The 16,444-nt window shown below is 40.9% G+C and overlaps 1 protein-coding gene across 6 annotated transcripts in view, besides 3 other annotated features; it reads right to left on the minus strand.

The window, feature by feature from the left end:
- WDR33 (WD repeat domain 33) overlaps window positions 1-16,444 on the minus strand; it is a 110,145-nt gene that overhangs the window by 66,677 nt on the left and 27,024 nt on the right. For all 6 annotated transcript variants that reach the window (XM_005263697.4, NM_018383.5, XM_011511436.2 and 3 more), the window contains exons 2-4: window positions 3,075-3,301; window positions 1,230-1,298; window positions 486-590 (exon numbers count right to left, since the gene is read on the minus strand). In XM_005263697.4, coding sequence (XP_005263754.1) covers window positions 486-590; window positions 1,230-1,298; window positions 3,075-3,278 — 378 coding nt within the window. In that variant the 5' untranslated portion in view covers window positions 3,279-3,301. The remainder of the gene's footprint in view (window positions 1-485; window positions 591-1,229; window positions 1,299-3,074; window positions 3,302-16,444) is intronic.
- Window positions 3,358-3,558: a silencer, noted in NCBI's record as "peak3854 fragment used in MPRA reporter construct". NCBI's record gives its function as "represses an SCP1 promoter by STARR-seq MPRAs in K562 erythroleukemia cells {active_cell/tissue: K562}" and the evidence as "EXISTENCE:reporter gene assay evidence [ECO:0000049][PMID:32103011]".
- Window positions 8,538-8,738: a silencer, noted in NCBI's record as "peak3855 fragment used in MPRA reporter construct". NCBI's record gives its function as "represses an SCP1 promoter by STARR-seq MPRAs in K562 erythroleukemia cells {active_cell/tissue: K562}" and the evidence as "EXISTENCE:reporter gene assay evidence [ECO:0000049][PMID:32103011]".
- Window positions 9,378-9,578: a silencer, noted in NCBI's record as "peak3856 fragment used in MPRA reporter construct". NCBI's record gives its function as "represses an SCP1 promoter by STARR-seq MPRAs in K562 erythroleukemia cells {active_cell/tissue: K562}" and the evidence as "EXISTENCE:reporter gene assay evidence [ECO:0000049][PMID:32103011]".

The raw sequence follows: 16,444 nt of genomic DNA on the forward strand, positions 1-16,444 counted from the left end.
GACTCTGTCTAAAAAAAATAAAAAAATAAAATAAAATTTCAGTTTAAATGTATTAAGTGCCTACTAGGTACCTTCATAGAGCTAAAAATTACGGTACACCACAGTTCTTCAGCTCTCAGATGTTTTCCTGTCTGTTAACTCCTAAGTATTTTTCATTTACCTTGGGATGCTGCTTTCTAAATAGTTAATAAAAGCATTCCTACTCAAACGCAACTCTGAGACCTGCTACAACATGTATCCATCTATTCAGAGAGAATTCTACAGAAATTGCCACATGAAGAAAAACAATCCAAAAGTGGTATCTCACTCAATGGTGATAAAGTAGATAAACAACTGGATATTCCAAAATAAAATTACTAGCAATAAACCAATTATAAGCCCAGATATACTTTTAAAATAATGTTTAATTTTCTTTGCCCTGTCAAATACATTTGCTATATAACGCAGGATTAATTTTCCCCCAAAATATCCAACAGATTACTTACCCTAACAACAAATACAGGACACTTTACTTTATTTGTTGATGTCCGAACAAATTTTGTTGTTACTGCATTCATAGGATTATTCAACATTCCTATAGGTGGGACCAGCTACAAAAAAGGAAAATTGGGTTCTTAGAGCTCCTGATTACATACAAGGCAGAAACCAGAAACACGGCAAGGTAATTATTTCAACATTTAAAGACAAATTTGGGACCATATAGAACTTTCCCATAAAAACTATTATAAAGTATTACAATTAGTCTATTAATTAAGTGAAGAAAAGTGAGATACAGGAAAGTTAAATACCCATTATTACTAAACAAACAAGAAAATCAAGTACCAGTACTAACCCAGTACAAGTTAGTACAAGTACTAACCCAGTTAGTACTTAAAGTCAACATATTTAAACATGTCCACATAAAGCTAATTAAGTTCAAATTTAAGTTTTAAGAAATTTAAAATTAACTTTCCAATTACAAGACTTTAGATTACTCAACTTCTTTTTGGACACTGCTTTAAGCCCCAAATCAAAAATTCACCCATCATTAGATTAAAAGGAAAATCTAAATTGAGACAAACACATAATCCATGGCTTACACAGATGTGTTATATTATCCCTTTGGGAATATTTTAATTATAAAAATGTAAAAAGAAAAGACCATTTTGGACTTGAAGTCACACAGTGAAGGCTAAAATATTCAAGCAAGGAAGTGTTTATTAAGCTAGTATGACACATCATGTACTTACATCATTGTAATAACCTGCATCAGGCTGAATTGCCCGCATATCTCTCTGGTCTCTTTGCCATATTCTGTTCTGTTAAATAAATAAATAAATAAATAAATAAATAAATAGATCAATTAATGACTATATGGTCTGATTATACTCAATTTGAAATTAACAAAATGTAAGCTATATTAAAAATGGATAAACAGAATTAAAAAATATTATTTTCTAAAACAAATAGTGGGTGCCTTAGAGAGCTTTCCCTTCTGATCCTACTAACATTGCTTAGAACTTCCCTCCTCGAGGTGCCTCATGCCTGTAATCCTAGCACTTTGTGAGGGCGAGGCAGGCAGATCACCTGAGGTCAGGAGTTTAAGACCAGCCTGGCCAACATGGTGAAACCCTGTCTCTACTAAAACTACAAGCCAGAAATCACTTGAACCAGGGAGGCGGAGGTTGCAGTGAGCTGAGATGGTGCCACTGCACTCCAGCCTGCGCAACAGAGCGAGATTCCATCTCAAAAAAACAAACAAACAAAAAAAAAACCTTCCCTCCTCATGTTATCATATTAGTCCCCACCCACTCATCCAAGATACTGTCGACTCCAACACAGTCTCCCTGATGCTACCTTAAGAAAAGGAAACAGCAGAGAGGGTAGAAAGACATCCCCAATTCCTTCAAAGCCCTCAGCACAAAACAATTCCTCATATCTTGCCCTTGGTCTTAATTCCTCTCAAACTCTCTCCTAGCCTACTTTCCCAATTGAAATTCCCAGAAAAATCAAAATCTGTCTTTATCTCTGAATCTCTTTCTCCTGTATGCCTGCAACATATTAACTAGGCCCAATATGCAAATAGGTCTTTAACCACAGATCTAAGGTAATGAAAAACAGACAAATTTTCATAGGAGGCCAGACCTAAACCCAATGAACCTAATAGGTAATATTAGTAATAAGGCTAATTCCTACATTAACACAAGTAAATAAAGAACTCTAACGGGAAACTGCAGGTAGACCCCTGCCTTGCCTTTACTTACTATCTAAGTTGCTTTTACCCTGTAGGACTGCAGTAGGCGTTCAATCCTCAAGAACGTAAAGCCCTTTTCCTGACTCTAAGAAATACCTACCACCAGGGCTTGGAAGTGGGAGAATCCATGTTCTCCAAGCCAGTGTCTCACAAAAATATTCCTATGTTGGTAGTCTTTTATGATTTCATATACACTGCAGGTTTAACAAGTGTTTTAAGACTGGCCTAGCGATTAAAGTACTCCCTTCTAATTTGTGAACTTTTAGAGCAAATCCTATTTCTAAAATGGAGTCTAACTTTAATAATTTTTTAGAAGATGATACAGGCACAGAATTTTATAAAGTATTAGTGGTTTGAGGTTCTTCCTAAATTAGCCAATTTGAAATTCCACCGTGTCCCACTAATTCAACTAACACAGGTATACATACTTACTACACTACATCTAGAAAATCATCTTCTTTTAAATAACCAGGCCGGGCGCAGTGGCTCATGCCTGTAATCCCAGCACTTTGGGAGACTGAGGCAGGTGGATCACCTGAGGTTAGGAGTTTGAGACCAGCCTGGCCAACATGGTTGAAATTACGTCTCTACTAAAACTACAAAAATTAGCCGGGCATGGTAGCAGGTGCCTATAATCCCAGCTACTTGGGAAGCTGAGGCAGGAGAATCACTTGAACCCGGGAGGCAGAGGTTGCAGTGAGCCAAAACCACACCACTGCACTCTGGCCTGGGCAACAAGAAAGAAACTCCATCTCAAAATAAATAAATAAATAAATAAATAAATAAATAAATAAATAAATAACCAAAGTTTGGTCATCTGAAGCACATAAATCAGGCTTACCTCCAAATACTTAATTACAGATGGATTGTAGTCTATGGTTTTTCGGTTCACAGCTTTTCTCATTCGTTTTCCATCAAAAGTAAGCTGTTGCATTGCTTGCTGTTGTGCAAAATCAGGTCGCTTATAAAACAGCTGTCGAGGTGCCTGGTGCTGGAACCTTGGCATATGGAAAAAACGAGGAGGAGAACCAATTTCTGTAGCCATGGTGATGTTTTCCTTCTAGGATACTAGGATAAGGAAAAAGTACTTTCACTACAAATATCAGCACTGCAACACTGCCTGAAAACATTTTTAAATGAACACTTTTTACATTTCTTTTCCCTTATCTAACGTGCATCATTTCCACTTACACAATGAACTACAGTCATGAGTCACTTAACAACGGGCGTATGTTCTCAGAGATGCATCCTTAGGCAATTTCATCACTGTACAAACTTCACAGAGTTGTACTTACACAAACCTAGATGGTATATACAGCCTACTACACACGTAGGCTACACGGTACAGCCTAATGCTCTTAGGTTACAAACCTGCACAGCATGTTACTTTACTGAATGCTGGTGGCAACCGTAACACAATAAGTATTCATGTGTCTAAACATAGAAAAAGACACCATAGAAAAGTATGATAAAAATACTATATTATAATCTTATGAGACCACCATCATATATGTGGTCCAGCATTGACCACAATGTCATTTTGTGGTGCATGACTATATTAGATCAATGACAGAGACCAGTTACACATCTGAAAAAGACTACGGTCAAGGCGGAAGGATCGCTTGAGGCCAGGAGTTTAAGATCAGGCTGGGGAACATAGTGAGATTCCCATCTCTACAAAAAATAAAAACACTAGCTGGACATGATGGCATGCACCTGTAGTCCTAGCTATTTGGGAGGCTGAGACAGGAGAATCACTTGAGTCCAGAATTTTGAGGTTGCACTGAGCCATGATCATGCCACCGCACTCCAGCCTGAGTGACAGGGAGAGACCCTGTTGGAAAGAAGGAAGGAGGGAGGGAGGGAGGGAGGGGGCAGGGGAAGACTAATTCACAGAATAAGTGCTAAGAGGCATTTGATGTAAAATTCAGCCTCGTGAAGAAAAAAAGCACAATTCATAACAGCTTGAGGCAGGGTGTGTATGTGTGAGTCAGTGGATGGGTACGTGTTTATGCTTAGGGAATAAAAGAAGGTAGGATCACTGGGAATTGTTCACTTTTTCTTTTTTTTCTCCTAGAGATAATATCTAACTGTGTTGCCCAGTCTGGTCTCAGACTCTTGGGCTCAAGAGATCCTCACACTTTGGCCTCCTAAAGTGCTGGGATTACAGGCATGAGCCACCAAGCCTGGCCTTACATTTTTAAAATTAAAATTTCACAGCTGGGCGCAGTGGCTCATGCCTGTAATCCCAGCACTTTGGGAGGCCGAGATGGGCGGATCACCGGAGGTCAGGAGTTCAAGACCAGCCTGGCCAACATGGTGAAACCCCGTCTCTACTAAAAATACAAAAAAATTAGCTGGGCGTGGTGGCAGTCTCCTGTAATCCCAGCTACTCAGGAGGCTGAGGCAGGAGAATCGTTTGAACCCGGGAGGGAGAGGTTGCAGTGGGCCAAAATCACCTCACTGCACTCCAGCCTGGGCGACAAGGCAAGACTGTCTTAAAAAAAAAAATTCCACTTAGATGTTTGATTATAAAACTAATTATTTTCATGTTTATTAAGACTCCATTTTATACAAGTCATTAAATGCTCTTTAAAATTTGACTTTTGTTCTTTTAAATTTCCCAGGACTAGTGTAGAAAGAGGAATAAACTACCTTATTTCATATCTATAATGAACAAAAAAAGTACGTATGCCCAAATTTCAGGAGCAAAGTACCACAGAAACTTATTTCTCAGTATGTGTTATTTACATATTTACAAAGGTAACATTAAGTTTATATCTGAAGAGGAAAATGTTAAGACCTTATAGTTTTTCAGCTTCAATGCTCTACATTTAAACTTACATGCCAATAATACAAATATGCATGATTTTAAAATAAATTTTAAGCACATTTTAAAAATCAGGCCAGGCATGGTGGCTCACATCTGTTATCCCAGCACTTTGGGGGGCCAAGCAGGAGGACTGCACTTGAGGCCAAAAGTTCAACACCAGCCTGTGCACATAGTGAGACTCCATCTCTACAAAAAAAAAAAAAAAAAATTGTTTTAATTAGCCCAGTGTGCTGGTGCGCACCTGTAGTCCCAACTACTCAGGAGACTGAGGTGGGAGGATCACTTGAGCCTGGGAAGTCAAAGATGCAGTGAACCATGATAGCACCACTGCACTCCAACCTGGGTGACAGAACAAGACCCTGTCTCCAAAAATAAAATAAAAGAATAAAATTAAAAACTATTACAAATACAATAAAGGAGAGAAGTTACAAACATTTCCACAATTGCTTTTGTTTCAAAACCAGAAAAGATTGTGGCCACCATTATTTGTCTGTATTCTTAAAACTGCCTTATCTCACTCTCTAGACACTAAATAATGAGCCTGAAAAAATTTATGATTTCCTTTTGATGAAATATTCTTGGTAGTACTTCATTCAGCCTTGTCACGTTGGTCCCTCCTAAGACCATTAAATTTGAATAATAATAACAACAAGGAGGAGGAGGGGTGGAGGGAAAAGAAATCCTGACTTTCGCACACCAAAAATAAATAGTGCAATAAAATATGCATTTAACCTGTGTTATTTCCACCACTCTGAAGCAATCCCAGAAGGTCCTTGGCAAACATTAACTTGAAATAAGATGAAAAATATTCTATGTCTTAGAGCTGTGTGTGAATTAAACGGCAGAAAAGAACTAAGCAGTTGATTCAATAAGGCTGGTGGAAGACTGTTTACTCAGTTATTCCATGAATCCAATTAAGTTTCAGCACCCCAATTTCAATTACCAGCTTCAATTCAGATGTCTGGGCCAGTAATTCTAAAATAAAGCAGTTCTGGTAAGCATTTTTTTATTTGAGATGGGGTCTCGCTCTGTTGCCCAGGCTGGAGTGCAGTGGTGCGATCTCGGCTCACTGCAATCTCTGCCTCCCACGCTTAAGCAACCCTCCCACCTCAGCCTCCTGAGTAGCTGGGACCATTAGGTGCATGCCACCATGCCCAGGTAATTTTTTTTGTATTTTAGTAGGCTGGTCTTGAACTCCTGAGCCCAAGCAGTCCACCTGCTTGAGTCTCCAAAAGTGCTGGGATTACAGGCATGAGCCACCACGCCCAGCCCAAAAGCCTTTTTTTTTTTTTTTTTTTTTAAGACAGAGTCTCACTCTGTTGCCCTGGCTAGAGTGCAGTGGCATGATCTTGGCTCACTGCAACCTCTGCCTCCCGGGTTCAAGCAATTCTGCTGCCTCAGCCTCCCGAGTAGGTGGGATTACAGGCATCTGCCACCATGCCTGGCTAATTTTTGTATTTTCAGTAAAGACAGGGTTTCACCATGTTGGCCAGGCTGGTCTCAAACTTCTGGCCTCGGATGATCCGCCCGCCTCAGTTTCCCAAAGTGCTGGGATTACAGGCATGAGTCACAGATCCTGGCCCAAAAGCATATTTTAAAATTATGACTTCCAAATCAAATACCTAATTATATTAGAATAAAATTATTCTAACAGTATAGTTTCTATTACTATAAAATGAGAATAGATTTTTTCACAAGTCAAAAGGGATTTAAATATTCAGCTGCAAAAAAGAAATTAAGTTGATATAAATACAACATGAATATCAAAACCATTATGCTGCCAGGCGCGGCGGCTCACGCCTGTAATCCCAGCACTTTGGGAGGCCCAGGCTGGCGGATCACAAGGTCAGGAGATCGAGACCATCCCGGCTAACATGGTGAAACCCCGTCTCTACTAAAAATACAAAAAAATTAGCCAGGCGTGGTGGCGGGCGCCTGTAGTCCCGGCTACTCGGGAGGCTGAGGCAGGAGAATGGCGTGAACCCGGGAGGCGGAGCTTGCAGTGAGCAGAGATTCCGCCACTGCACTCCAGCCTGGGCGACAGAGTGAGACTCCGTCTCAAAAAAAAAGAAAAAAAAAAATTATGCTAAGTGAAAGAAGTCAGCCACAAAAAGTCACATATTGTGTGATTATGTTTATATGAAAAATCCAGAACATGCTAATATACAGCGACAAAAAGCTAAAAGATTAGTGTTTGCCACGGGCTGGGGAATGAGAGGAATGGAGAATGACTGCTTAATTAAAATAGAATTTCCTTTTGGGATGATGAAAATGTCTTGCAACCTGACAGAGATGGTGGCTGCAAAAAACTGAATTTACCAAATCCCACTGAATTATACACTTTAAAATGGCTACAACAGTGAATTCTCTGTTATGCGACTTTTATCTCAATTAAAGAATAATGGGCTTAATCTATTAAAAAAAAAAATTTTTTTTTGAGACGGAGTCTCACTGTATTGCCCAGGCAGGAGTGCAGTGGCGTGATCCCAGCTCACTGTAACCTCCGCCTCCCAGGTTCAAGCAATTCTCCTACCTCTGCCTCCCAAGTAGCTGGGACTATAAGTGCACTCCACCACTTCCAGCTAATTTTTGTCTTTTTAATAGAGCCGGGGTTTTGCCATGTTGGTCAGGCTAGTCTCAAACTCCTGACCTCAGGTGATCCACCGGCCTTGGCCTCCCAAGGTGCTGGGATTACAGGCGTGAGCCATCGTGCCTGGCCCACTGCAAAAAAATTTTTAAGGGACAGCAGATGAAACAACAAAAAGTTGATGACTGTTGAAGCTGGGTGGAGAGTACCTGGATACAAAGCACTAATCAAAAGACACATCAAGGATATTTACTCTACAAATATGAGGAAAATGACTGAAGTCAAATGCAAAAAAAGTATTGTTACTTACACTCTTTGGAATAATTCACACGTTAAAGCTACAGAAAAATATCAATCCTTCATTTAAGACCTCATAGAGGATGGGGAAATAATCTTTCCATTTACAAATTTGTTCAGTAAAACGGGTTCTGAAAAGGGGCTTTTAACTTTTCCTTGAATGATCAAGTACCAATGGTGTTTCAGAAATAAAGGTCAAGAATGAAGAAAACGAGAAAAAAAAAAGTACAATTATATCTGAAACAAACATCCAGCCTAAAATAAAATTAAAACAAAAAATCTCTTCACAATACAGTGACCAGGCTCCATCTATACCTTATACACTTCAGCTTCACATCCTGCAAACTATAAAGTTACTTGGCCAAAATCACAACAGTCTTGGCCGCTGTTAGGGGCTGAAATGTGTCCCCTCAAAAATTCACAAATGTAAGTCCTAACCTCCAGTACCTCACAATGTGATTCTATTTAGATTTAGGGCCCTAATCCAATCTAACTGGTATCCTTTTAAATGAAGATTAGGACACAGACAACACAGACAAAAGAATGACCATGTGAGGACAGAGAGAGAAGACAGCCATCTAGAAGCCAAGAGGAGAGGCTCTCCAGGAACCAGCCCTGCTCACATCCTGATCTCAGACTTTCAGCCTCCAGAACTGAGAAGATACATTTCTACTGTTTAATCCACCCCCGCACCCAGTCTATGGTATTTTGTTATGGCAGCCCTAGCTAAGAGAGTGGCAGTCAAGGCAAAATACCTCCTGACTCTCCTTCAACAGAGGTTGACAGAAACATTGAGCAATCACAACTGTAATCCTAGCACTTTGGGAGGCCGATACAGGTGGACTGCTTGAGCCCAGGAGTTCAAGACCACCCAGTAAGACCCTGTTTCTACAAAAAACACAAAAATTAGCCGGGCCTGGTGGTGCACACCTATAGTCCCAGCTACTCAGGAGGCTGAGATGGCAGCCTGGGAGGTCAAGGCTGCAGTGAACCAATGTTGCACCACTGCACTCCAGCCTGGGTGTCACAGTGAGACCCCATCTCAAAAAAAGAAAAAATATTTGAGCAAAAATGATACAATAGCTTTCTCTGAGAGCAGAAAACTTGACATGTGAGGCTGAAAAGTTATTGACCACGACAGAAAGAACCAATCCTCAAACAAGTCATTACAACTATCCTCTACGCTTTACTTGGGATTATACTCCAAAGATCTAGATTTATGACCAAACACAGAGAAAGCAGAGCTTTGTCCTTTATAAAGGTAATTAATGTGATTTGTACTCACTGCAGTATTGACTTGAGGTATGCTAACAGAACAACACAATTTAAAGTACTTAGTCCCCAAAACATACTCATCTTACATCCAGGGTGGAGAGGGAGGAGAGACAAAGAGTTTGGGAAAGGAGGGTGCAAGAGAGAGGAACTGAGGTAGAGAAAAGACAAATAATTTGCCTATTGTTGAATTCAGTATACACTAACAATACAACCAAATTGCTAAGGACAAGAATCTGTGTGAAACACTGAATTCATCATGCCTTTCTCCTATACATAAACCTTCAATGTTTCAAGCAATCAGCACAGTTTTATCAAGAGCCTACTTTACATGCATACACTGCCTCAGGTACAGCGCACAATTCTGATTCACTAAATATCACTCCTAATTTCGCAGAACAGTAGTTTTCAGACTTTGTGGTGCCTGGCCCCCTCTCTATTTTTAGCATATATAAAGATCCTGAGTACACAAAAGTTTGCATCGCATCCTTAGCCTTAGGCTTTCAACTGCTCAAGAAAACCAGGAAGGCCAGTCAATTTCTCCATTATTTTCTCAACCTGTAAAATGAGTTCCATGCCTCAAAAATATTATTTTGCATTAAATTTGTATCTTTCAACAATGTGGTGACTATACTATTGAACAGAATGGAACACTCAGACTTAGTGTGTCAATGTTTGTATGCACAAGTCTATACCAACGTTATAATTCTGCTTTTTTGAGACAGGGTCTTGCTGTGTTGCTCAGGATGGAATACAGTGGCACTACCACAGCTCACTGCAGCTCAAGTGATTCTCCTGTCTCAGCCTCCCAAGTATGTGGGACTACACATGTGTGCCACCTGGGCTCAGCTAATTTTTTTCATTTTTTGTAGAGACAGATCTTGCTTTGTTGCCCAGGCTGGTCCAGAACTCCTGAGCTCAAGCGATCCTCCCACCTCAGCCTCTCAAAGTGGTGGGATTATAGGCATAAGCCACTGCACCTGGTCAATTCTGCTTCTTGTCCCAAATGCTCACAAGATAACTTCTTGTATAATCTTAGTCATGTGATGATACTGAAATTATAGCTGAAGATAAAAGTTAAAAATGAGCCGGGTGTGGTGGCTCATGCTTGTAATCCCAAAACTTTGAGAGGCCAAGGCAGGAGGATCTCTTGAGGCCAGGAGTTGGAGACAAGCCTAGGCAGAATAGCAAGACCCCCATCTCTGCAAAAAAATTTTAAAAAATTATTGGCTGGGTGCAGTGGCTCACGCCTGTAATCCCAGCACTTTGGGAGGCCGAGGTGGGTGGGATCACCTGAGGTCAGGAGTTCGAGACCAGCCTGGCCAACATGGCAAAACCCCATCTCTACTAAAAATACAAAAATTAGCTGGGCGTGGTGGCTGACGCCTGTAATCCCAGCTACTCAGGGGACTGAGGCAGGAGAATCGCTTGACCCCAAGAAGCAAAGACTGCAATGAGCCAAGATCATGCCACTGAACTCTAGCCTGGGCAACAGAGCAAGACTCCATCTCAAGAAAAAAAAAAAAAAGAAAAAAGAAACAAACAAAAACAAAAAAACTGATGAGCCCTGACTACCTGCCAGACAATGAACACACACACACACACACATTCTGTTCTCAAGAGTCTGACCGTTTCTCAGTACAGAAGAGCTCAAAAGAACAATGTGAGAAGTTACTACTACACTGAGACACTACTACGCTGTGTGAGAGGCACTATTACAAGGGATATAGCACAGGAAACTTACAGCACCAATCAGCCTTAAGAAGCTTAAATTCTGAGTAAAGTGAGGGAGGCAAGGGCAGGGGGTGTCAGGGGAGAGACACTTGAGAAAAAAAAGTAAATAAAGCTCTCTAATTCACTCAGCATACCAAGGCCAGCATAATTTTTCCCCAACCAAACATAATTCAAAATAATCTTTCACCAACCAAATTTCTGACTACCATTTGAATTATTTTACCATAATAGATCTCCAACTAAAACACATAGGAAAATGACCTAGCTAGCACTCAACTAATTCCTCAGCTTCAATACAAAATGAATTTACTGAATGCTTCATACAAATGAGTAAAAAGAGTTTTAAACTAAGATTCCTGGGGGTAGAGCGAGGCTCTGGCATCAAAAAAATGCTGACATGAAATATCATGAATGAGCCTAAAGCGGTGCTTTTTCTTTAAACCAGAAATCACATCCCATTGATGGTTCCTGAAATCAATGTGGCTGACAAGCAGCATTATTTTAATAATTAAAAAAAAAAAAAATAGGGCCAGGGTGGTGGCTCATGCCTGTAATCCTAGCACTTTGGGAGGCCAAGGCAGATGGATCACTTGAGGTCAGGAGTTCGAGACGAGCCTGGCTAATATGGTGAAACCCCATCTCTACTACATACAAAAATTAGCTAGGTGTGGTGGCGCACACCTGTAGTCCCAGCTACTTGGGAGGCTGGGGCAGGAGAATAGCTTGAAACTCAGAGGCAGAGGTTGCAGGGAGCCAAGATCACGACACTGCACTCTAGCCTGGGCAACAGGGCGAGACTCCGTTTCAAAAAAAAAGTTAAAAAAAATAGAACATATGATAGAACTGCGCATTTGAAAGAACTGTTTTTGTGCAACTACTGTTTCTATTGTGTTTGTGTGTATGCATACAGGGTCACAATATTTACAAAGTATTTTCTTCCTAGGAATCTGTCAATTGAAAGCCAAGGGCTTGCTGTTAGTAACACTGTGAGGTATTCCCTTCCTGTGTATTTTCTGTTTATTATCACCTAATGTCTGCTGCCACTGCATATCCATAGCCAAAGAAGATCACATATAGCATCTGTCCAGTATGAATACTGTGGCTGATCACAGTAGCTATGGTACCAGAATTTGATCCAATTATCAAATCCAACAATTCCTACCATGTCAGCCACTAATCAGAGCTTCCAATCAGAACAAGAAAGCTTGTTTTCCCAAACTGAGATAACAGAATTCTAACCAAAAGCAAATTATTGATGCATTAACTAGCTAGCAATTCATATAGGACTTTTAAAAATAATAAAAAGGTTTTTTTGATTTTTTTTTTTTTTTTGAGACGGAGTCTCGCTCTGTCGCCCAGGCTAGAGTGCAGTGGTGCGATCTCGGCTCACTGCAAGCTCCGCCTCCCGGGTTCACGCCATTCTCCTGCCTCAGCCTCTCGAGTAGCTGGGAATACAGGCCCCCGCCACCACGCCCAGCTAATTTTTTGTACTTTTAGTAGAGACGGGGTTTCACCGTGTTAGCCAGGATGGTCTCGATCTCCTGACCTCGTGATCCGCCCACCTCGGCCTCCCAAAGTGTAAAAATAATAAAAAGTTTTAAGATTCCCACCTCCATTAACACTCCTGACCCCAGGGTCAAAACCTCAGCCTGGAAACCTGTTTTAGATTATTTATGTATAGTCCACTAGGTTCTAAGATAATCAATCTACTCTAAAAGAAATTTGATACCCAATCTGTCATTGAACTTTGAGGGGATCTTCATGAGCGGCAGGCTAGACCAGTAACAAAATGATCAACATGCTCTTTCTCTTCATTGTCCAACTTTAATTAATATGAATCCTGAAAAATCAGGAGAAATTACATGGAGACCATTCAATCTGTTAAAGAATAATCAATGAAGCTGTTTAAATAAGTAGGTTTTGGCCAGGCACAGAGGCTCATGACTGTAACCCCAGCATTTTGGGTGGCCAAGGTGGGAGGATCACTTGAGGCCAGGATTTGGAGACCAGCCAACACAGTGAGACCCTCCTCCTTCAAAAGTAAACTTTCACCTCCAGTCCCGTCTACTCAAAAGGCTGAAGCAGGAGGATCCCTTGAGCCCAGGAGTTTGAGACTGCAGTGAGCCATGATCACACCACTGCACTCCAGCCTGGGCAGCAGAATGAGACCCTATCTCAAAATAATTAATTTATTAATAGCTTTTTATTTTTTACTTTTTGAGAGACAGTCTCACTCTGTTACCCAGGCTGGAGTGCAGTGGCACCATCTCAGCTCACTACAACCTTCATCTCACAGGTTCAAGCAATTCTCCCACCTCAGCCTCCCAAGTAGCTGGGACTACAAGCGTGCCCCACCACACCCGGCTAATTTTTTTCGTATCTCTAATAGAGACGGGATTTCACCATGTTGGCCAGGCTGGTCTCAAACTCCTGACCTCAAGTGATCCACCTGCCGCAGCCTCCCGAAGTGCTGGGATTATAGGTGTGAGCCACCATGCCCGGCCCAATTAATAGCTTTTTAAAGTTCGAGATTCTATTATCTTGACTGTGGTAATAGACACATGAACATATCCAAGAGATTGCATATTGTACGCTTCATTTATATGACATTCTTAAAATGCCAAAACAATAGAAATGACTGCCAAGAGTTAGGGGGGTAGGAGAGGGTGGATGGGTGTGGTTATAAAAAAGGTAACTCTTGTAGTGATAAACTGTTAATATCTTGATTATGGTGGCGAACACAGGAACATAAACATATAGTAAGATTGCAGAAAACTATAGATACACACAAATAAGTACAGTAAAACTGGAGGAAATCTAAATAAGATCTGCAGACCATATCACTATCAATGCTCTGCTTGTGACAATGTACTACAGTTTTACAATTTGTTATCATTGGGAGAAACTGGGTAACATAAATAGAATCTCTGTATTAAGGATCTCTCTGTATTATTTCTTAAAAATGCATGTGAATCTACAATTATCTCAATAAAAATTTCTACCTTAAAAGTTAACATGAGCAATTCACTAGCTGGTTAAAAAAAAAATCCATGCTGAGGCCGGGTGCAGTGGCTCATGCCTATAATCCTAGCACTTCCGGAGGCCGAGGTAGGCAGATCACCTGAGGTCGGGAGTTTGAGACTAGCCTGAGCAACATGGAGAAACCCCGTCTCTACTAAAAATACAAAATTAACCAGGCGTGGTGGCACACGCCTGTAATCTCAGCTACTCGGGAGGCTGAGGCAGGAGAATTGCCTGAACCCGGGAGGTGGAGGTTGCGGTGAGCCAAGATTGCGCCATTGCACTCCAGCCTGGGCAAGAAGAGCGAAACTCTTTTTCTAAAAAAAAAAAAAAAAAAAAAAATCCATGCTGAGAACACACATATGGAATATTCAAAGTCAAGTGTTTTACAACTGCTGCTACAAATTTGTGGATCACTAAACTTGACATTAAAAATCAATTTTCAGCCGGGCGCAGTGGCTCATGCCTGTCATCCCAGCACTTCAGGAGACCAAGGCAGGAGGGTCATTTGAGGTCAGCAATTCACGACCAGCCTGACCAACATGGTGACACCCTGTCTCTACTAAAAATACAAAAAATTAGCCAGGGAAAGTTGCGCACATCTGTAATATCAGCTACTCAAGAGGCTGAGGCAGGAGAATCGCTTGAACCTGGGAGGCAGGGGTTGCGGCGAGCCGAGATTGCACCACTGCACTCCAGCCTGGGCATGATCTCAAATTTGCAGATCAATTTTGAGAAAATTGATCTCAAAAAGAAGATCAATTTTCATTAACCAAATGTGGCAGTTTTCTAGCTTTCTAGCGTTCAGGTACGGCCTTAGTTGCATAATTTTTCATAACTTGGGGGAAGCAGCTTCCACTCTGTACAGTAGGCTCTCTGTATCTATCTGTTCTGCATCCATGGATTCAACCGAGGAAGAAAAATATTAGACGGGAATAAATGGATGGTTGCATCTGTACTAAACAATATAGTACAACAACTATTTACACAACATTCACATAGTATTAGGTATAAGCAATCTAAAGAAAATTTAAAGTATACAGCAGGAGCCAGGAGCGGTGGCTCACGCCTGCAATCCCAACACTTTGGGAGGCCGAGGCAGGTGGATCACAAGGTCAGGAGATCGAGACCATCCTGGCTAACATGGTGAAACCCCATCTCTACTAAAAATACAAAAAATTAGCCAGGTGTGGTGGCAGGCGCCTGTAGTCCCAGCTACTTGGGAGACTGAGGCGGGAGAATGGCAGGAAGCCGGCAGACAGAGCTTGCAGTGAGCCGAGATCATGCCACTGCACACCAGCCTGGGCAACAGAGTGAGACTCTGTCTCAAAAACTAATAATAATAAAATAAAGTATACAGCAGGATATGTGTATGTTATATGCAAATGCTACACCATTTTATTTAAAGGACTTGAGCATCTGTGGATTTTGGTATTGTTGGGGATTCCTAGTACTACTCCCCCATGCATACTAAGGGACTACTAAGCTATAAAATTACTGAAGTATTTTAGTGAATACTACTTTAGACATGTTTAATCCATGTTACCTGATACTGTACTGGGCATTTACATTCAGTTTTCTGTGCCATTTCAAAAGCTAACTTTAACATATGAAGCACATGACCACAAACATGGCTGTCTTCCTCATTAGAAGTAATAACTCAGTATTTCAAAAGTGTGATACTAGGATAGAGAAACCAGCACTTTTTTGTCAAGTTTTCAGTGGAGACTAATGTCAGGGGTTACTGGATGTGGTTTTCTGCCTTTCATCAGCACACAAAGCAAAAGGGTTTTCCTACCCAGGTGATTTTAAAGTGCAACAAAATTTGGGAACAACTGGATTAAGTAATTTGGACAGTCTACTTCTGAAACAGCTTCCTTACAAAAGCAAGTTCTTCAGCTATTTTATTTCAGGACTCCTTTTTTTTTTTTTTTTTTTTTTTTTGAGACAGTCTCGCTCTGGTGCCCAGGCTGGAGTACAGTGGTGTGATCTCGGCTCACTGCGACCTCCGCCTCCTAGGTTCAAGTGATTCTCCTGCCTCAGTCTCCCGAGTAGATGAGATTACAGGCGTGCACCACCACCCCCAGCTAATTTTTTGTATTTTTAGTAGAGACAAGGTTTCACCATGTTGGTCAGGCTGGTCTTGAATTGCTGACCTCAAATGACCCTCCTGCCTCGGTCTCCCAAAATGCTGGGATTACAAGAGTGAGCCACCGCACCTGGCCAGCACTTCCTTATTCTTTTAAACACTGAAGATTCCCCAAAATTTTTGTTTACTGTGGTATTGGATACTGGCCATATTAGAAATGAAAAAAAAAAAGTTTTTAAAATATTAATTCATTTTTAAATAACGATAAACTCATTACCTTTCCTTTCCCAAAAGCAATTAGTGAGAAAAGTAGCATTGTTTTTCACATTTCTGCTTATCTTTTTAGTATCTAGCTTAATTGAAAACAGCTGCTTTCTC

Source organism: Homo sapiens, chromosome 2 (assembly GCF_000001405.40).
Source record: "Homo sapiens chromosome 2, GRCh38.p14 Primary Assembly".
NCBI lineage: Eukaryota > Metazoa > Chordata > Mammalia > Primates > Hominidae > Homo > Homo sapiens.